Raw genomic sequence first — 22,043 nt, 5'->3', positions numbered from 1 at the left:
TTGAGATGGAGTCTCACTCTGTCACCCAGGCTGGAGTGCAATGGCATGATCTCGGCTCACTGCAACCTCTACCTCCATGGTTCAAGCAATTCCCCTGCCTCAGCCTCTCAAGTAGCTGGGGATACAGGTGTGTGCCACCACGCTCGGCTGATTTTTTTTATGTTTTTAGTTAAGACGGTTTCACCATGTTGGCCAGACTGGTCTCGAACTCCTGACCTCAGGCAATCCACCCGCCTCGGCCTCCCAAAGTGCTAGGATTATAGGCATGAGCCACCGCACCCGGGCTCTTTTTTCTTTTTTTGAGACAGAGTTTTGCTCTGTCGCCAGGGCTGGAGTGCAATGGTGCGATCTTGGCTGACTGTAATCTCCGCCCCCTGGGTTCAAGCAATTCTTGTGCCTCAGCCTCCTGAATAGCTGGGATTACAGGCATGCACCACCACACCCTGCTAATTTTGTATTTTTAGTAGAGACGGGGTTTCACCATGTTAGTCAGGCTGGTCTTGAACTCCTGTCCTCAGGTGATCCACCCCCCGTCGGCCTCCCAAAGTGCTGGGATTACAAGTATGAGCCACCGTGCCCAGCCAAAATTGTATTAGTTTTCTATTGCCATATAACAAATTATCACAAACTTAGTGGCTTAAAACAACATGTATTTCTTATCTCACAGTGTCAGTGGATCAGAAATCTGGGCACAGCTTAACTGGATCCTTTGCCCAGGGTCTCACGAGGTTTCAGTTGAGGTGTTGGCCAGGCCATAGTCTCATCTGAGGCTTGGGACTCTTCCTAGCTCATTTGGGTGATTGCTGGCAGACTAAATTTCCTTACAGCTGTGGGACTCAGGTGGCTTGTTTCTTTGCAGGAGAGTATCTCTTTTTCGGGGCTCACCTGATTAGAGCAAGCCTACTCTGGATAATCTTCTTTTGATTAACTCAACAGTCAGCCAATTAGGGCCTTTATTATATTCTCAGAATCCCTTCATCTTTCCCATTTCATGTAACATAATCACAAGAGTGACAGACAAACATATTCAGAGCTATTGCCCATACTTAAGGGGAAGGAATTTGATAGGGTTTGTACCAGCAGGCTGGGAATTTTGGAAGCCACGTTAGATTTCTGCCCACCACAATAACATGGACTGACTTAGGAGACTATCGATGTGGCCTTCAAAGTCTGTATTTTTAAAGATATTGTAGTACATTCAAAATTCATACATTAGAAATAATAACAACCTAAACAATAAAGTATTAAACTGTTGGGACTGTTTTTAAGGCTGTGATGTCAATCCTCTAAGTTATCTCTATTTTCAGGATGAAACTACCATTTTGATTAAAATTTCTTCTATCTATTATTGTCCTAGTGGATTTTAAATTGAATTAGCAGAAGGGGTGGATTTCAAATTAAATTCCATTTGGGTAAATAAAAAAGCGGTTAATCATTTCAGCATTTTCCTCTTTATTGTTTTCATGAGTGGAGATTTCATTAGTTCAACATACTTTGCTGTAACTTTCTTGAAATGTGCCATATTTTTTCATATCCTAGTATTGTTAGGGTTGAATTCATATGTTATCATAGCAAGTGACCCATAATTTGAGAGTTCTTTTTCTTTGCTTTGGATGTATGATACTTTGAAAATAAGCTGTTACTGAAAATAAAGGACTATAATTAAATATAACAGTGAATGGAATGCCAGTTCAAACAATATCAAGAAACACTTCTAAAGGGAGTGTTCTGTTGATTTTAAAAGGGTCTTCTCAAAGTAAGATTGGCCATTTTAAATAGCCTGAATAAAACATTATTAAATACCCTGTAGGGTATATCCTGCTTTTGTGAGAAATGTACTAACTGACATGATTCTTCTTTCCAAATATAAGAACTAGACTTGCTTTTTGACTTGGAGAAAGGAAGAGCATTGTATTTTTACTAGAGTGTAGGTTAATCATGAGCTTCTAATCATGGTGATGATTTAAATGATTCTAAGAAGATTAGAAAGCCTCAGATCCTACTAAACAAGGGTATTTATACTCACCCTCCTTTTTTCCATTATGAAAGGAATGCTTATGGTTATGGAGAACTTTTGTATAGTACTATCTTTGAATTATTTTACTACTCCTACCCCTCAAATCTACTCTGACATTGTCTTCAATTAGGCAACTGAGTTTTTAGCAGTCTGCCTTCAGCTGCTTTTCAACCATACAGGGGTTATACTACCCAATAGGAGGAGATAGCGTTATTAACCCAGCTCATCAGGATGCACATGTAACATTTAAGTGAGTTATCAATGGACGGTACCCCACATTGGAAAGTAAAATAACTGAGGTTTTTTGGGATCAAATAAGCATTTTACAAAATGGTGGAGTTGGGTGTGGAGGCTCATGCCTGTCATCCAAGCACTTTGAGAGGCTGAGGTGGGCAGATTGCTTTAGGCCAGGGGTTCAAGTCCAGCCTGGGCAACAAAGCAAGACCCCATCTTTATGTTTAAAAATTTTTATATTTAAAAAAAAGAAATGCTGTACATTATTAACAGAAACCAAGAAAAGGAAGCAAACTTACTGTCCAGCAATGGGTGAATGGATAAAGAAAATGTGGTACATATACACAATGGAATATTATTCAGCCATAAAAATGAAGTCTTGTTATTTGTGACAACATGGATGAAACTGGAGGATATTAGGCTAAGTGAAATAAGCCAGGCACAGAAAGACAAATACGAGTTTGACTTTTGAGTTCATGCATGATCTCACTTATATATGGAATCTAAAAAAGCCAAACTCATAAAAACAGAGAGTGTAGAATGGTGGTTGTCAGAGGCTTAGGGGCGGGGTGGAATTGGGAGATGTTGGTCAAAGGGTACAAAACTTCAGTTAGACAGGAGGAAGAAGTTCCAGAGATCAATCATACAAATATGGTGACCATAGTTAATAGCAATGTCCTGTATACTTGAAAATTGCTGACAATAGATTTTGTGTTCTCACTATATAAAAATAAGCATGTGAGGTGATGCATACGTCAATTCGCTTGATTTATAAAATATGTACACATTCTACAGTATATACATATTTCAAAACATCATGTTGTATACCATAAATATATACAATTTTTATTATCAATTAAAAAAAGTAAAAACTGAAAGTGGTCGCTCAAGCCTGTAATCTCAGCTACTTGGCTGAGGCAGGGGATCACTTGAGTCCAGTAGTTCAAGACCAGCCCGGGCAACATCATGAGATCCTGTGCCAAAAATAACCCAAGCAAACAAACCTAAAAAAAGAAAAAAGAAGAGCTGCATACTGTTGCTTTGTCCCAGAGATACACTGTGCATATTAGCATATAAAGCCTCTGAGAAGTCCTGTAGTAAACACATCTGATGAACTTGGTTTAACCAAGTATTTCCCCTATCTCCTTTGACCACAGAATCTATTTTAACTATAATATTGTCTGGAATTAGCAATCCATAAAAAGTCCTTTGGAAAATAATGCTATAATTGAAATTACCCAAATCTCCCTTAAATCCAGATTTTCTAGTCTTTCTAAGCTATGTGGACTTCTAGAACTACACTCGCTCTGAGCCAGAAGACCAAGAAGTTATATTTTCATTTAAATTTTTTATCTCTAGTTATTCATTTGCGTGTCCAAGGATCCAAAACTTCAGTCAAGGATGGTCTGCAATGCTTCATTCTTTTAAACATAATTATATCCAGTGTTTGAAACTTGGCTTCACCATTTTTCCTCTCAACACTTTGCTCACTAATTGCCTTTTATTTATTTTTTTCCAGGGGAGCACTATTTAATCTCTTGGTAATTTTAATTAGTGAGCCTCAGATTCCAAAATCTTGTCCTGTGTTTGATATCCAGTTGGTGGCTGATTCAGCTTTAGTCAGAATGTCTTTTGACGCTGAGGTGAGATGAGAATTTGGGGGGTAAACTATTATATATATATATATATAGGGGCCCTGGCTTCTTTTAATGTGGACCATGACACCGTAGAATAGAGAAACATAATTAAACCAAAGAGTAGATCTTTTGTCATTAACCTCAAAACTTAGATAACTAGTCAGTCTAAAGTAGATTTAGAGATTTAGAGGGTCAAGAAAAAGGAAAAAATAACTATTCAGTCAATATTAATATATCCCTTTTATATGTCTTAAGGTATGTATATTAAAGAAAGTAATTAGCATTCTTTATAAATTTGATAAATCTGTTTATGTCTGTCTGTGTACAAAACATGATGTATATGTAATTCCATAGCAGGGGTCTAATGGGTGAAAAATCACTGTCTTAGAGATTTTAGGGTTAACTCTTATACTTTACCATTTTCCTACTTATATGAACAGTATAAATTCTCAGCAAGAGTTACTTGTTTTTCTAAGGTTGTACCAAGACATTAGAAATATCAAACTGCCTAGAAGGCATACCTTCTGAGAGAATAAACCAACTTATTATTAGTTTATTTTGAGCCAGGTTAACAGACTTTTTTTTAAAGGATGAAACATGATTTGATAGTTCTTAAATATATGGTCAGAATTATGTTTTAGAAAACTCATTCAGTCATTCACTCAGTAATTTTTTTTTTTTTTTTTTTTTTTAAGAAAGGGTTTCACTCTGTTGCCCAGGCTGGAGTGCAGTGGCACAATCTCGGCTCACTGCAGACTTGACCTCCCAGGCTCAAGTAATGCTCTCACTTCAGACTCCTGAGTAGCTAGGACTACAGGCATGAGCCACCACGCCTGGCTAATTTTTGTATTTTTTGTAGAGATGGGGTCTTGCCATGTTACCCAGGTTGGTTTCAAATCCCTGAGCTCAAGCGATTTGCCTGTCTCGGCCTCCCAAAATGCTAAGATTACAGGCATGAGCCACCACACCTGGCCACAGTCAGTAAATATTTATTGAGCATCTATTATGAGCAAACAGTGTGCTAGGCAGTAGGGTCAAAACAGTAAGCAAAACAGACACGACCCCTGCCTTCATTAGTTTCTACTCTGCTGGGAGAGACAGACATTATTCAAATATATCCATGAATATATAATTACAGACTGTATATAGAGAGTCTCCAATACCACTTTCAATGGTGGATTAGCTATTAAAGAGTGGGGTGGAACCAAGACTCAGATAGGCAGGGCTATTAAGAAGTTAGTGCCATAATCTAGGTAAGGAAAGATATTGGCCAGAGGGAAGCATTCCTTGACCACCAAATGAGACTAGTCCTCCTTTATAGAGCTCCCTTAACTTCCTGTACATTTCTTTCATAGCCCTTGTCTCAGTTTATAATTAGGCATTTGTGTATTTGATCACTTGATGTTTGTTCCCCAACTAGATTGTATGTTCCATGAGGGCAGGTCTCATGTCTGTGTTGTTCTCCCTTGCGTCCCCAACACCTAGCATGGTGTCTGATGCATATTTGTTGAGTAAATAAATGAAGAAAAGGGATAGTAATTGTAAAGAGGAGTTTGGAATTCTTGAGAGGAATGAAGTATCTCTAAACCCTCTATTTATCCATCCCACAGAAGGAATCTTAGTTTAATTTGGGAATAAGCCTAAATTCCCCAGAGAATCTCTCACCTCAACTCGCGGGGGGGGGTGTGTATTTCTACATTCTTGAAAGGAAGTAGGGTTGTTGATCTGATTGATTTTGCAAATCAAATATGCAATTTTTTGTCTTAGTATTCTGTGGGCCAGCCAGGGATAATGGCTTGCATCTGAATCCCAGCTACTCAGGAGGCAGAGGTGGGAGAATCACTTGAGGCCAAGAGTTCCATACCAGCCTGGGCAACAAGCGAGACCCTGTCTCTACAAAAATAAAAAATCAAAAATTACCTGGGCATGGTGGCACATACCTGTAGTCCTAGCTACTGGGGAGACTGAGGTGAAAGGATGGGTTGGGCTCAGGAATTTGAGACCAGCCTGGGCAATATAGTGAGACCTCATCTCTACAAAAAATTAAAAAAATAAGATTAGCCAGCATGGTAGCTTGCACCTGTAGTCCCAGCTACACAGAAAGCAGAGGTGAGAGGAATGGCTTGTGCCCAGGAGTTTGAGGCTGCACAGACCCATGACCACAGCACTGTACTCCCACCTGGGTGGCAGCATGAGACCTTGTCTCAAAAAAAAGAGAAAGTTTATTGTATAAGTACCTAAAGGGAACCATGGGAAATTATCGTTTTCTGACTTGGCTTATGACATTGCATTGATTATTCTTGAAAATTCTAGTTACAGAAGCTTATTCTGGAGTATACAAATACTGCTACAGCACTTTTATATGAGATACTTCTGGTCTTTCAGCAGGTACAATTTTTAAAAATTATATTTTTACATATTTTATGTAACTATAAATTACATGACTATTATATATTATGATATATGTATATTATGTGATTATGTTATATGATTAATAATATATCAAAAATGCTTGTACTTGAGATGGTCTCCAAAACTGGTTGATTTCAATGATATGAACTTTGCTCTTAAGTGCTCATCTAGTTTATTTTCCAAAACTGATTTTAAGGATTCGATTAATCAGGATAAAAATGTATTTAAGAATGAGTATCCTTTTATATACTACTTGAACTTTATGAATATAACTTGTTTATTTCCTTGAGTCTTTTAGGGAAATCTCGGATTGGGATCCACAAAGTTTGCTATTAGCTGGATAATGTCCTTTCTACAAAGCTGTCCTCCCATCGTAAGTATCTAGAAGTCAAAACGAAATCACCCCCAAGCCTAATTAAACAGATACTCTTGTGCTTAATTAATAAAACACAGATTTTCCCTGTGATGTAATCAAGTTTATCAACCAGAAGCAAAGTGTAAATTTGACAGTTTATTATTTAATTGATAAATCGTTTTTACATTTTGGACCTGAATGTTTAAGGTACTGAAATTATATCTTAAATGGGAACGTTATTTCATGAAAAACTCTAAGATACATGTAGAAAACAGAATATTAAATTATTAGCTGTATAATTAGGTAAAAAGATAAACATTTACCTTAAATAGTGAGCATGAATCTAACACTTGGGATCATTTGTGTGCTCTGTCCCACAGACACCATCCTAGTTCCTATTATCACCATTTCTTTCCTTGATGCTACAATCACATCTCAATGGTCTGTCCCTGTCTTCCCACCAGATTACAGGCTGAGGGATCCATTTGAAATAAAAATCTGATTGTCATCCCTTGCTTCAAATCTCTCAATAACTCTTCCTTCTGAATGAAGACTAAACTCCTTAACATGGCCTACAGGGCCCTGCGTGCTATGGCCGACAGCTTCCTCTGGTCCCTCAGCCTCCCTGCTGTGTGGGTCTCTTGCTCACCATCCCTCTCCCCACCACCACCCCCCTCCCTGCAGCTGCATCACAGGACCTGTACCGTTGCATCTGTCTCTCCATTGGAAATGCTTTCCCTCCCTTTTTCACCTGGTCAACTTCTACTCATCCCTCAGGCCTCAGGGCCCCTTCCTGGGGTGTGGCAGTGGAGGACGCTTCTCTGCCCCCCGTGACAGGGGAGATTCCCTCATTAGAGGCACAAACAGTGCATGGCATGGTGTCCTCTTCCTCTGCTTTATAGGCCTCGTCACTGTTGCAGTTTGCATTTGTTTGTGTTATTATTTGCTTCTGCCGTGTCACAGCCATTAGTGCCCACTCATATTCTGTCTCTGCCTCCTTCTGGGCACATGGTGGGACTGCACTTCCCTCTCCATGTGAAATTGTGGGGTGGAGGCGGTCTCTGTGGCTGCTTTGGCTAATGAAATGTGATCAGAAGTGGCCTATGTCACTTCTGGGCAGAAGCTTTAAGAGCCAGTATGTGCCACCTGGCATTCTCTTTTCCTTCGGCATAGCACCCACAAGGTGGCTGCCCTGCCTGCAGATGGCCAAGAGTAACCACAGTGAGCAGAGCCCTGCAGACCCCTCTGGGACATGCAGTGTGAATGAGTAATCAACCTTTGCTGTTTCAAGCAAAGCACTGGTATTTTGGGAGGTTTGTTACCACAGCATAATCTAGTCCATCACGACTGATACAATGTCTTTCTCTTCCAACAGACTGCCAGTGCCGTGAGGGTAGAAGCTATGTCTGTTGTGCTAGGCACACCATAAATGTTCAGTAAAATATCTGCTGAATTAATTGTAGTAGAGGCTTTATCCCTTAATCTCTTCCCACCTCCTCAAACTTATGCATTCAGTCAACAAACACTTAATTGGAAATCTCTTCAAAAGAGTAATCTAAACTAAATTTCCATTGCTGATGGACACGAGGTAATATGTTCTTTTTTTTTTTTTTTTTTTTTTGAGACAGAGTCTTGCTCTGTTGCCCAGGCTGGAGTGCAGTAGTTCTGCGATCTCAGCTCACTGCAACCTCCACCTCCCAGATTCAAGCAATTCTCCTGCCTCAGCCTCCCAAGTAGCTGGGATTACAGGCACCTGCCACCATACCCGGCTAAATTTTGTATTTTTTAGTACAGACGGGGTTTCGCCATGTTGCCCAGGCTGGTCTGGAACTCCTGACCTCAGGTGATCATCCACCTTGGCCTCCCAAATTGCTATTACAGGCATGAGCCACTGTGCCCGGCCTGTTCTCTTTCCATATATGGACACGCATCTGTTGGACCATCAGTGGTCCCCTGCTGTTTCTCTAGAGTGATGTTGGGTCTGTTCTATGGGATCTAGACTGTCTTGTCAGATCCCTATGACATATGTTTACACAAAGCTGGCTGGGGCCAGAGGGTACATTTGTCAGTAGAACAGCCAGCTGCCTTCTACAGAAGTTGAGCCCATGAACTTGTCTTCCTCAGTAGCACACAGGCCCCAACCAATCTCAGACCATTTCACAGAATGTTTGAAAGTTATAGTCATTCACAGCAATGGAAGCTCATATGTGCAAGATGCAAGACCCCTTTGTTTTCTGTGTGGTGGCTGCAGACCCTATTACATGGACTGATGTGTGGAAATCTGGGTTTTACAGACTCCACGTAACAGGAAAGTTTCTTTTTATTTATTTATTTTTTTATTTTTATTTTTTTACTTTCATTTCCCATGTAAGCCTTCCTGCATGGTATTTATTTATTTATTTATTTATTTATTTGAGACAGAGTCTCCCTTTGTCACCCAGGCTGGAGTGCAGTGGTGCGATCTCGGCTCACTGCAACCTCCACCTCCTGGGTTCAAGTGATCCTCCTACCTCAGTCTCCCAAGTAGCTGGGATTACAGGCACCTGCCACCACGACTGGCTAATTTTTGTATTTTTAGTAGAGACAGGGTTTCACCATGTTAGCCACGCTGGTCTCAAACTCCTGACCTCAGGAGATCCTCCCACTTCGGCCTCCTAAAGTGCTGGGATTACAGCTGTGAGCCACCGTGCCTGGCCGCATTTATTTATTTTAAAAAATTTTTAAAAATGAGATGGGGTCTTGCTATGTTTCCCAGGCTGGTCTCAAACTCCTGGGCTCAAGCAGTCCTCCTGCCTCAGCCTCCTAAGTAGCTGGGAATACAGGCATGTGCCACTGTACTCTGGCTAAAAGGAAGTTTCTTTACCAGCCTCTAAAGTTGGTTCACCAAAGGAATTGGGTTGAGTATGAGGCTAGTCTGTGACCATGAAGCATGTAAGGATGAAGGGTTGGCAAAAGAAAGCTTCAATATTAACCCAGTTATAAACAGTATGGGCAGAAACAAATCATTCAAGAGACATTTGCAAGCAAAGAAACTGGGATCATTGCTATGCACCTGCATGTCAGTCAGCTCTCATTATCTTACTTGGTTAGAGAAAGGTGCTAGAAAAGTTAAAAACTTAATTTCTAAATAGGCTAATTAACATTGTTCTGTTCTACTGCCTCAGACTCTCTCAGCTCAAGCTGTGTTTGCCAGGCAATATATGTTTAATCAATATATATATAATGTTTTGTCAACACATGTAAATGGTCTGGAATGGGAAAAATCCACTTCCACCTACTTGCCCTACCTGTAGGGAAGGGCCAGTTGCAACATATTACAATAGAAAAGGCAACACATTTTTACTGATACTAATTCAATGGGTGTGTAGTGTGACCTGTTGGTTAGAGTTTGAAAAGGCACTAGTGTTCTTTTCTGCTTTTCACACAAGCCTACGTTTATGGATTGTAATTACACAGAAGAGTAACTACTTGCACTCGCCCAGGCTGGAGTGCAGTGGTGCGATCTTGGCTCACTGCAACCTCTGCCTCTGCATTCAAGCAGTTCTTGTGCCTCAGCCTCCCAAGTAGCTGGGATTACAGACATGTGACACCATGCCTGGCAAATTTTTGTATTTTTAGTAGAGATGGGGTTTTGCCATGTTAACCAGGCTGTCTAGAACTCCCTGCCTCAAGTGATCTACCCGCCTCAGCCTCCCAAAGTGCTGGGATTACAGATGAGGCACAGTGCCCGACCTGGCCTCTTATACTTTTTTTTGAGATGGAATCTTGCTCTGTTGCCCAGGCTGGAGTGCAGTGACATGATCTCGGCTCACTGCAACCTCTGCCTCCCGAATTAAGCGACTTTCCTGCCTCAGCCTCCTGAGTAGCTGGGATTACAGGCATGCACCACCACGCCTGACTGATTTTTGTATTTTTAGTAGAGACGGGGTTCCACCATGTTGGTCAGGCTGATCTCGAACTCCTGACCTCGTGATCCACCTGCCTTGGTCTCCCAAAGTGCTGGGATTACAGGCGTGAGCCACCATGCCCAGCTTCCTCCTATACTTTTTATTTGACATTGGATACCATTTCAATAAGGAACATTGCAACAGTGGTGTTAGGGTAGTGAGGGCCTCAGTCTAGATTTGTAGTTGAAGCTCCAGCTGAAATAGTTGCTTTTGTGGGTGGCACACAGCCTACATGTAACTGTATTTTCCTTGTCTAGATTACTTTTGTGGCCAGTATTGTGAAACAAGTGGTGAGGGGTCTTTCAGCTTCATTTCAGCTGCTAAGTCCCTGCCAAGCAGTTCTGTTGTACCAGCAATTTTACATCCTCAAGAGCTGTCTGCGGCACAGCAGGACTCTAGCTGAGTATATTAGGAATAACTACAGAGAAGAATTCAGGTAAGAAAAAATGTCTGAATCTAATCTGCAGTAAGATTTCACTCATTTCTGAGTTCATGCAAACCTGCAACATGGTCCAATATTTAGAAGATTAGGTATTTATCAGGAATTCTTTTTTGTTTGTTTGTTCTTTTTGAGATGGAGTCTTGCTCTGTCACCCAGGCTGGAATACAGTGGTGCAATCTTGGCTCACTGCAACCTCTGCCTCCCAGATTTGAGCAATTCTCCTGCCTCAGCCTCCTGAGTAGTTGGGATTACAGGCGCCCGCCACCATGCCTGGCTAATTTTTTTTTTGTATTTTTAGTAGAGACAGGGTTTCACCATGTTGGTCAGGCTGATCTCGAACTCCTAACCTGATGATCCACCCACCTCAGCCTCCCAAAGTGCTGGGATTACAGGTGTGAGCCACCGCACCTGGCCTATTTTTGTTTTTAATAATATTTCACTTTGATCTGTGAAAATGGTAGGATTTTGGGGACCTCTAAGAACCATTGCCATTTGAAGTATATTCCCAGGCCAGAAAAGACTAGTGAAACATCAAACTCTCTTTGAAGAACGGTTTGTCACTCATTGTCTTTATTGTAGCTGCATCTCACGGAAGTAGTAATAATTTTAACCTGCTGTGAGTAATTAAGAGTAATAAACTTGGCTGGGCATGGTGGCTCATGCCTGTAATCCTAGCACTGTGGGAGGCTGAGCCGGGCAGATTACTTGAGGTCAGGAGTTTGAGACCAGGCTGAGCAACATGGTGAAACCCCGTCTCTACTAAAAATACAAAAATAAGCTGAGCCTGGTGGTGCACGCCTGTAATCCCAGCTATTCGGGAGGCTGAGGCAGGAGAATCACTTGAACCCAGGAGGCAGAGGTTGCAGTGAGCTGAGATCATGCTGACACACTCCAGCCTGGGCAACGGAGGGATATTCCGCCTCAAAAAAAAAAAAGTGTAAATAAACTTCACTGAAGAGGATAATAAATTATGGATTGTGACTTACAATTGAGTTATTGGACAGAAGCAATTGATAAAGGAGTAACAATTAATGAACATGGTTATCAGGGGTTTTGTTTGTTTCACTTACCCCTCTCAGTAACAGAACAGTAAGAAAGAACAGTAGCCAGCATTGGCTTCATCTGCCAGCCTGTTCTCCTGCACCTCAGGGGTTCCATTTCTATTTATAGGCTGCCAAAGCCAAGTGCACTTAGCAGTGCAGCCCTGCATAGCACCCATTAAGGAGAAAACCCAGGTTGTCTCTGACTTAAGATGAAAAGGGTACAGCGGACACAGCTTTGTCATTTGTTTGGATGAAGACGTAAAAGGATGTGGAGACATAAATTACAGCCTTAGATTGTCTTTTTTTAAAAAAAAACTACAGTCCAATTTATAGACTTTTTTTTTTTTGACACAGGGTCTCACTCTGCCACCTAGGCTGGAGTGTAGTGCTGTGATCTCGGCTTATCACAATCTCTGCCTCCTGGGCTCAAGCAATGCCCCCTTCCACTTCAGCCTCCTGAGTAGTTGGGACTACAGGCATGCACCATCACGCCTAGCTAATTTTTGTATTTTTAGTAGAGATGGAGTTTTGTCATGTTGGCCAGGCTAGTCTTGAACTCCTGGCCTCAAGTGATTCACCTGCCTCGGCCTCCTAAAGTGCTAGGATTACAGGTGTGAGCCACCACACTCAGCCATGGACTTTTTGTCTTCCATGAGGTGTTCCATTCTGACTCCCATAAAAGGGATTTGTTTGGCTCTGAGCTCGTCCAAACAACCCAATTCCCATCTCTTCCCTCTTGCACCTCCTCACTTAAAAAAATATATATATTAAGGTAAATTTCACATAGTATGAAATTTACCATTTTAAAATATACAATTCCATAGTTTTTAAATTCACCATATTTTGCAACTGTCATAACTATCTAATTGCACACCATTTTCATCACCTCAAAAGAAACTCAGTATCCATTAAGCAATCACACCACATATTCTCCTCCTCCTAACCCCTGGAAACCACTAATTTACTTTCTGTTGTGATGGATTTGCCTATTCTGGACATTCTACATAAATGGAGCGTATAATATGTGATCTTTTGTGTCTGACTTCACTGAGCTTAATGTTTTCAAGGTTCATCCACATTGTAGCATGTATCATACAACTCAATTTTTAAAACTTAGATACAAACATCTGAAAATCAGGACAACTGGCAAAGTGGTGTCACACTTGTGAGATGACAACAGTTAGGCAGAACTCCTGCAGCTACCCCCTTAGGTGCATCATGTACTGTTTAGTTTGCCACCATCTCCTCTCTCTCTTGCTTACTCTTACCCCCTAAATTACATTACTGGTAGCCATTTAGGTGTGGATTCTTGTTTTAAACTAGTGTTTTCAACTCACATTGCATTGGAATTATCTGAGCAACTACAGGTTGAGCATCCCTAAACCAAAAATCCAAAATTTGCAATGCTCCAAAATCCGAAATCATTTGAACACCAACATGATGCTCAAAGTAAATGCTCATTGTAGCATTTCAGATTTTACATGTTCATATTAGGGATGCTCAACCATTAAGTATAATGCAGATACTCCAAAATCTGAAAAAATCTGAAATCCGAAACACATCTGATTGCAATCATTTTGGATAAGAGATACTCAACCTATTAAAAAAATACTGATAACCAGGTGTCACACGTAGAAATTCTGTTTCCATTTGTCTGGCGTGGTACCAGGGCTGTGAGATTTTAAAGATAAAGCTCTCCAGGTGATTCCAATGTGCATCAGGGTTGAGAACCATTCTTTTAAGTCATCCAAGGGGATGGTTGAAGTCTTTCTCATTTTTGCCTCTTCCTCTGGCCTTTCCTAGGCTTTTACTGAGGCCGTGGGGGATGAGTTCTACTCTTCCCTCTTGACTTGGCCCTAGTAGTCACCACAGCTTGACCCTTTCATTTCAACACCTCACTGCGCATTGCCTGATAAACCAAGAAGCAGGAGCCTCTGCTCATACTGTGGTGAGGACAGTCCACATGTCAGAGATTTTCTAGGTCACAAATGGGGGAGATTGGAGGGACAGTCCACATGTCAGAGATTTTCTAGGTCACAAATGGGGGAGATTGGAGATCTGAAAATGCTGACCAAGTCTTGTAGCTTAGATTCCCACACCCAACAACCCTAGCCAGTGAGTGTGAATGTACTCAAGTGACCAATGTGAAAATTCTTGTTTTTAAAACTCTCTATTTTGTTTCTTTTTATGATTTGCAGGTACTTTATTCACATGCCAGCCTTGCAGAAAAGGCTCCCATTGTGTTACCCCATCACTCAACCTACCATTCAACTTTTTCATGAAGTTCTGAAATTGGTTGAATAGAAACAAACAATGTACGCAATGTTAATAAGAGTATAAAATGTTAATCAAGAGTCAACTTGATATTCACGAGAAACATTTTTTTATTTGTTTAATATCTGGCTATCTCTGAGTCCTATAAACAAAGATTTTAATTGAATGTTCCATCAATACCTCTCTATGAGAAGTTTAAAATTTTAAAAAATAAATTTGATTTATTATAAGTGTGCAAAGATCTTTATGCCATTGGGCAAAAGAGCCATTTCTTTATTAGAGTAGTTCTTCAAACTCACTCTTGCCACAAAATAAACGACTATCCATCAAGACACAGGAAAAAGGAATGCAGGGATTTAGGAAAGCTGTACTCACTTCTCTTCCACCTTAGCAGCAAAAGCAAGAAGGTTCTCAAAATTCTCCTGATAATAGTTCTGTTGCTTAAGCAATAGGATGCCGGGGAGTGTGGGGGCCTGAGGCATGGGCATTCAAGTTCTTCTCAAGGTGTTTTATCTTCTCAGCTTGGGCACAGTGTTCTCGGTGAAACCATGCCAGGCACAGGAGCATGCTCTTCACCCGATTCTGTACTCAGAGCCATCCAAAAACCATTATTTCGACTAGGTTCTTGGAGTCCACTATGTCCACCACCAGCAGGGCCTGGCGCATCCACGCCACTTCTGGAATTACAGCTTGGTCTGGGCCTAAGGTCACTCACTCAAGATCTCATCCGCCAGCCACGCCTCCAGGTAGAACACCAAAGGGTCTCTCAGTTCCTGCACCAGAAACCACCAAGGCCGGAGGCCAGAGTTTTAAAATCTGCTACAAAGAAACCTACATCCATTCTGACATACATAAAGTGGTGCTAAACAGTAGCGTTTCTCCAGAAAAAAAGGTTCTAAGACAAAAATCTATCAAGGGAACAGAAGCCTATGGAGAGTGAACACAGAAAATATAATCTGGTGAGTTTCACTGGTGTAATAATGGTGAGTGGTGTGAAGCCACGAAACATCCTGAGATAAACTGTTGTGGGGAGTATAAGCTACAGAGTGATTATTTGGGAAATGCTGAGCAATAGGATGACACCCTCCTCCTCCACCTATACAAATTCTAGTGACAAAAGTATTCCTGGAAGAATGAGCAGAACACAGGCATAGCTGTATAGAATGTCACTTCCTCTTTTATCATAGAGAAAGAAGCTTGGACTTCAACAAAATTAAGTGCATGGTGCCACTCTGTTTCAGGCATCTGTGGGCTAATTTGTGTAGTCCCATAGAGTCTCTATGAAAGATAAATTGTCTACGAGCAGTTATGGCTCTCCCACAACCATTTAAAAACTTGTCTTTACTATATTTTATGCCATAAACTAATTTAATTCCACAAATACTTAACTTTGGCATCACCGTGAGGTGTTGAATTTGGACTTCTAAGAACATAGGAACTGGACTCTCCATTCAACTTATTATGACTTGAGGGAGGATCAGAGAAAAATCTACTTCCAAAGAAAGAGTTCCTAAGCCAGATTCGCCTGTGTTGGGCAGTGGAGATAATTACTAGGACATTTTATTCCAGGTTCTGACAGAGCCAAATGACCAGCTATTTGACTTCAAGCAAGTCAGGCCCCCTTTCCAGGCCACATCTGTTTCTTCCTGGGCTTCCTCTGCTAGGTGGAAGGGTGGGACTAGATGTTCTCCAAGTTCTCTTCCAGCTCTTACATTCTCTGCCTGTGACAAGACATTTAACACTCTGAAATGGAGTAGTGTGTTTCTCTGCTATCTCGGCTCAGTGGATGATTTTGCACTAACTTCAAGTAATCCTCCTTTCTTTTTACCCAAAGTTTCCCTTTCAGCTGTCACCAGCCATCACCCCATAAAGTGTCCAAGTCTTTTCCTTCATTACCCAATGAGGAGTCCACATTTTCTACCCTCAATTTTGGGGGCAGAGAGAGAGGAGCAAAATGGTGTTTTTGAGTGTCCTGGCTGTTAGATGGGGGATTATTTTCAAGAGACGGTCAATCAAAGGAATATGAAAAGATTCTTGGAACATAGGCAAGTATTACCTCAAACCGGACAAAGAATGTACTGATGAACCCGCAGGATGACAACGAGAGGATCAACTCAGCTCTGCCTTAGCTTCTCCGCAGTGCCCTGGATCTGGGCTAGTAGTCATGCAGGCTCTAGTGAGGGCTTGGGGTTTCTCTCCCACATGATTTCTGCATGCCTCTCCCACTCCTCTCTTTGCCCTGGGATCTTACTTTAATCTCTGGGAGCAAAATCTCTGTCAAAATATATCTGAATCTTTTTATGTGGGGCTAAAGTCAGTGGTTTTTTGGAGAGTTAATGGTTGAATATTTGTCACCCTGATTTTCTTCAGTCTACTCTGTATAACTCATGTCTATTCATTTGCACAGTCTGGGATCAGAAACTAATAATTCGAAGGATTGTCCAACCACTATTCTTCTCTGCTGTGTGGTTTTTGTTTGCATTGTTGTCAAAGGCAAGAAAAATCACAGAATAATCCATCTCTATTAGTGCTCAGACACATTTAACATTTTAACTAAATATTGACCTCACCTACAAAATAATTATTTTTCAGGAAATCTGATTGTAGAAAAATTTGACTATGAAGATCACATAAATAACTTTTTAAGAATCCAAAGGCTTGCCAAAAAGGCAAGTACACATGGACAGTTTTCCAGCCAGGGTCAAGATTCTAAACCCTTTGGCCATCTTTATAATACAAGCACTGCCATTTACCACCATTACCTACCCCCGCAGTCATCAGCTCTCCATTTGAAAGTATAGGTAGGTCGGGCACTGTGGCTCACGCCTGTAATCCTAGCACTTTGGGAGGCCAAGGTGAGTGGATCATGAGGTCAGGATTTCGAGACCAGCCTTGCCAGCATGGTGAAATCCCGTCTCTACTAAAAATACAAAAATTAGCCGGGTGTGTTGGCACGCGCCTGTAGTCCCAGCTACTCAGGAGGCTGAGGCAGGAGAATCGCTTGAACCCCGGAGGCGGAGGTTGCAGTGAGCCGAGATTGCACCACTGCACTCCAGCCTGGGTGACCGAGCAAGATTCTGTCTCAAAAAATAAATAAATAAATAAATAAATAAATAAATAAATAAATAAATAAAAAATATATGTAAATAGGCTGTGCACGGTAGCTCATGCCTGCAATCCCAACACTTTGGGAGGCCAAGGTAGGTGGATTGCCCGAGCAACGGAGTTCAAGACCACGAACATGGTGGTAACATGGTGAAACCCTGTCTCTAGTAAAATAAAAAATTAGCTGGGCGTGGTGGCGCACACCTGTAGTCCCAGCTAATCGGGGTAGGCTGAGGCACGAGACTCACTTGAACCCGGGAGGCGGAGGTTGCAGTGAGCCGAGATCGCACCACTGCACTCCAGCTTGGGTTACAGAGTGAGACTCCATCTCAAAAAATAAATAAAAATATAAAAATTAAAAAATTAAAAATATATATGTAAATAATATATAGAGATTATATGTAATTATATATAATTATAATTTTAAAATTTCATCTATATATAATGCGGGTAAGAACACTGGTTTTGGAGCCGAAATGGTTTAAATTCCAGTTCTGCACTTGTTTTGGACCTTAGGAAGTTACAAATATTTGTAAGCTGCAGTTAAAGCAAAGATAATATAACCTACTGCAAAGGGTGTTAGGAGATTTAAATGAAAACATAAATGCTTTAGCACACAGCACGGTATCTGACATGCAGTAAAGACTTGGGGTATATATTGTTAAAGTTAACAAAGCTGGGTGAGAATTTAGAGACTAATAAATATTGCCTTATTTTTTTAACCAATCTGAGGACCAGCCGCTGTACTCATAGAACCCCTGGTCTATAGAGCATTGGAGAACAGATTCATTTGAATTTTTTTTTTTTTTTTTGAGACTGAGTTTCACTCTACTTGCCCAGGCTGGAGTGCAATGGCACAACCTTGGCTAACTGCAACCTCTGCCTCCCGGGTTCAAGCGATTCTGCTGCCTCATCCTCCCAAGTAGCTGGGATTACAGGCTCCCACCACCACGCCTGGCAATTTTTTTGTATTTTTAGTAGAGACGGGTTTCACCATGTTGGCCAGGCTGGTCTCGAACTTCTGACCTCAGGTGATCCACCGGCCTCAGCCTCCCAAAGTGCTGGGATTACAAGCGTGAGCCACCATGCCCGGCCTGACAAGTGACTATTTTCACTGCTTACCACCAGGAAAGAGTGTTGGCTCTAATTAGCGCCATCAATGGAAGATCTACGTGGAAAACACTCTTTCCAAGGGTGGACAGAAAGCTTTTTAGTTCCTAAACTTTTTTCAGCCTTTGACTTGAACGGGTAATTGCTAAGTGACCAAATTGAAATAGCCATTCTTTACTTACAGAGTTCCAAATGGATTTACAGGTAGTGTTAGAGGAGATACATGAAGTATTCCTTTTCTTTTTTTTTTTTTTTTTGAGTTTCACTCTTGCCCCCCAGGCTGGAGTGCAATGGCACGATCTTGGCTCACTGCAGCCCCACCTCCTGGGCTCAAGCAATTCTCCTGCCTCAGCATCCCGAGTAGTTGGGATTACAGGCATGTGCCACCACACCCAGCTAATTTTGTATTTTTAGTAGAGACGGTTTCACTATGTTGGCCAGGCTGGTCTCGAACTCCTGACGTCAAGTGATCTGCCCGCCTCGGCCTTCCAAAGTGCTAGGATTACAGGGATGAGCCACTGTGCCCAGCCAAATTTCTTGAGTTTTACTGAAATTTAGATACTCTAGCTACTGTGCAAAGAGGGAAAAGCCTGAAGTTCCTATAACTGATAGCATGTTTTACATAATTTCATATTGAATCTCACTCACTGGCGGTACCACTTTTAATTTTGCATGAAGATGCTTGAGAGTACATTAATAAATGTTCTATAAGGCAGCTGATAAGCATAGTGAAAGCTTTTTGGCTGCTAAGCTTCAACCTGTGCCATTATATTTTTTCTGAGGCTACAACCATTTGTTTTATATTTCACATATTTGCATATTAGAGAGGTTCAGTGATAAATATGGAAGAGAAGCTGAAAATTCTTGACGAGATAAATTTGATTTTTTTTTTCTTGAGATGGGGTCTTGCTATATTGGCCAGGCTGTAGTGCAACGGCTACTCACAGGTGAGATCACAGCACACCACAGCCTCAAACTCCTGGGCTCAGGCAATCCTCCTGCCTCAGCCTCTCGAGTAGCTGAGACTGCAGGTACATGCCAGCATGCCAGGTTCATGGTGGGAATTTTTGAACAACTCTTAATAGTGTTAAATTACTGTCTGATTGCTCTTTGTTCATTGGATTTGCTTCTAAAATGCAGTACAGGCCGGGCGTGGTGGCTCACACCTGTAATCCCAACACTTTGGGAGGCCGAGGTGGGCAGATCACTTGAGGTCAGGAGTTCGGGCCCAGCCTGGCCAGTATGGTGAAGCCCTGTCTCTACTAAAAATACACAAATTAGCTGGGCATGGTGGCAGGTGCCTGTAATCCCAGCTACTCGGGAGGCTGAGGCAGGAGAATCACTTGAACCCAGGAGGCAGAGGTTGCAGGGAGCCGAGATTGCACAACTGCACTCCAGCCTGGGCAACAGAGCAAGACTCTGTCTCAAAAAATAAATAAAAAATAAAATAAAATAAAATAAATGCAGTGCAGGCTTGTAAGGTCAACTTGAATTTGGGTATCTATAGTGGGGAGACAGCCATTCTCCATGCCGTCAGACCAAGCACTTCTCTGTATTTCTGTGCCTTGTGGATCTGAAGCTTTTGTCATTTTGGGGAAGGCAACATGATTCCTTGGCTAGAAATCTGGGTAGTGTAACTTTTGGGATAAGATGCTATGTCAGACCTTGTTCTTACTTGTCATCAGACTTTTGGCAGGTTATTTTAAATCTTCCAGAACCTTTATTTTGTAAACTATGAGATAGTAAGAAGCCTACCTTAAGGGTTTTTGTGAATATGTGAATATTAATTAATTTGTATATAAACATCTAATTCTATGGTTACTATATATTAGGATGACCCATATAGCATTGCCATTTTCAAGTCCGAAAATGTTGGGATCTGCAATTCCATATGGTTCAAACAAACAGCAAGCCCTCAATAAATGGTAGCTATTATCTTAACAGAAATACTCACTTGCTTAGTGACCTTGTACTTTAAATATACAGTATATGGTTTATTCTCATTTCCCAAGTAGTTTGACACTTTGTTATAGCATGGCTTATTCTTGCACAGATTTGCATAAACCATACATCAAGTCATAGAATTCACTTACAAATTATTGTGTGGTTATAACATACCTAAACATTTTCAGAATGGAATTAATTTTCTTGATTGCCTTATGTGACAGTAAAAGTCTGTTCTTCCACTAGTCTCTCCCTCTAAGTGAATGGCACTCCATTCACTCCACTACTCAAAAGAGAAACCTGAGGGATCTGTTTCCTCCCTTCTCTTTATTCCCCAAATGTAACCCATCAGCAGTGCTTATTGGCAATTTCTTCAAGATATATTCCTGATCTACTGACTTCTCATAATTATGGCTATTACCCTAGTTTGAATCTCCAGCAACTACTGTAATAGCCTATTTAGTCACTTTTGACCCCTACAATCCATTTTTTAAAGGGACGGTGGTATTTTGAACATGGAAATCAATATAACTTCTGAGTTAATGAATTTAAATCTTTTTTTTTTTCTTTTGGAGACAGAGTTTCACCCTTGTTGCCCAGGCTGGAATGCAATAGTGCAATCTCGGTTCACTGCAACCTCCACCTCCTGAGTTAAAGTGATTCTCCTGCCTCAGCCTCTCGAGTAACTGGGATTACAGGCACCCACCACCATGCCCAGCTAATTTTTGTATTTTTAGTAGAGACAGGGTTTCACCATGTTGGCCAGGCTGGTCTCGAACTCCTGACCTCAGGTAATCTGCCCTCCTTGACCTCCCAAAGTGCTGGGATCACAGGCATGAGCCACCGTACCCGGCCAATGAATTTAAATCTTTGCACTGCTTTCCATTATCCAGGAGTAAATCCCACGTCCTTACCATGGCCTTCAAGGCCCTTAATGACCTCACCCATGATTACCTCTGTGACCTAATCCAAATCATTCTCCTCCTCATTTGCTACTCCCCAAACACATTGGCCTTTGTGCTATTCCTTCTAATAAACACCCCAAGCTCTTTCAGGCCCTGGAAATTTGTACTAGTAAATGTTTTTTCCCTGATCTTCAGCTGTCACTTCAAAGAGCTTCTTTGATCACTCTACAGTAGAGTCTCACCCACCTACATTACCTTTTAACGTATTTGTTTACTTGCTTATTCTTTGCAATGTGAGAATTTCAGGATGTAAGCTCCATGAGGGTTTGACCCTTCTTTGTCTTGTTCAATACTTTATCCTCAGCACCCAGAATAGTGCCTGGCACAAAGTGTTTCATCTATGTTGAAGGAATAAATGGACTAATAAAACACAAATTAGATGAGGATTAATTACTGGCTTAAGATTTCAGTATGGTTTGTTTGTTTGTTTCTTTTTTTGAGATGGAGTCTCACTCTGTTGCCCAGGCTAGAGTGCAGTGGCGCGATCTCAGCTTACTGCAACCTCTGCCTCCCAGGTTCAAGCAATTCTCCTGCCTCAGCCTCCTGAGTAGCTGGGAT

At 41.3% G+C, this 22,043-nt stretch overlaps 1 protein-coding gene and 1 pseudogene across 6 annotated transcripts in view; one reads left to right on the top strand and one right to left on the bottom strand.

The window, feature by feature from the left end:
* C12orf56 (chromosome 12 open reading frame 56) overlaps window positions 1-16,812 on the top strand; it is a 125,997-nt gene extending 109,185 nt beyond the window's left edge. For 2 of the 6 annotated variants that reach the window (NM_001099676.3, NM_001170633.2), the window contains 5 exons: window positions 3,771-3,894; window positions 6,202-6,276; window positions 6,599-6,673; window positions 10,860-11,038; window positions 14,286-16,812. In NM_001099676.3, the coding sequence (NP_001093146.1) occupies window positions 3,771-3,894; window positions 6,202-6,276; window positions 6,599-6,673; window positions 10,860-11,038; window positions 14,286-14,391 (559 nt within the window). In that variant the 3' untranslated portion in view covers window positions 14,392-16,812. Of the gene's footprint in view, window positions 1-5; window positions 128-3,770; window positions 3,895-6,201; window positions 6,277-6,590; window positions 6,674-10,859; window positions 11,039-14,285 lie in introns of those variants that run through there. The other 4 variants (XM_024448830.2, XM_047428257.1, XM_024448831.2 and 1 more) reach the window with 4 other exon arrangements.
* On the bottom strand, window positions 14,803-15,163 carry OOEPP2 (OOEP pseudogene 2; annotated as a pseudogene).
* Window positions 16,813-22,043: the final 5,231 nt, after the last annotated feature.

This window comes from Homo sapiens, chromosome 12, assembly GCF_000001405.40.
Source record: "Homo sapiens chromosome 12, GRCh38.p14 Primary Assembly".
Classification (NCBI taxonomy): domain Eukaryota; kingdom Metazoa; phylum Chordata; class Mammalia; order Primates; family Hominidae; genus Homo; species Homo sapiens.
The sequence above is the reverse complement of the archived record's forward strand: the minus strand, read 5'-3'. Positions and strand labels throughout refer to the sequence as shown.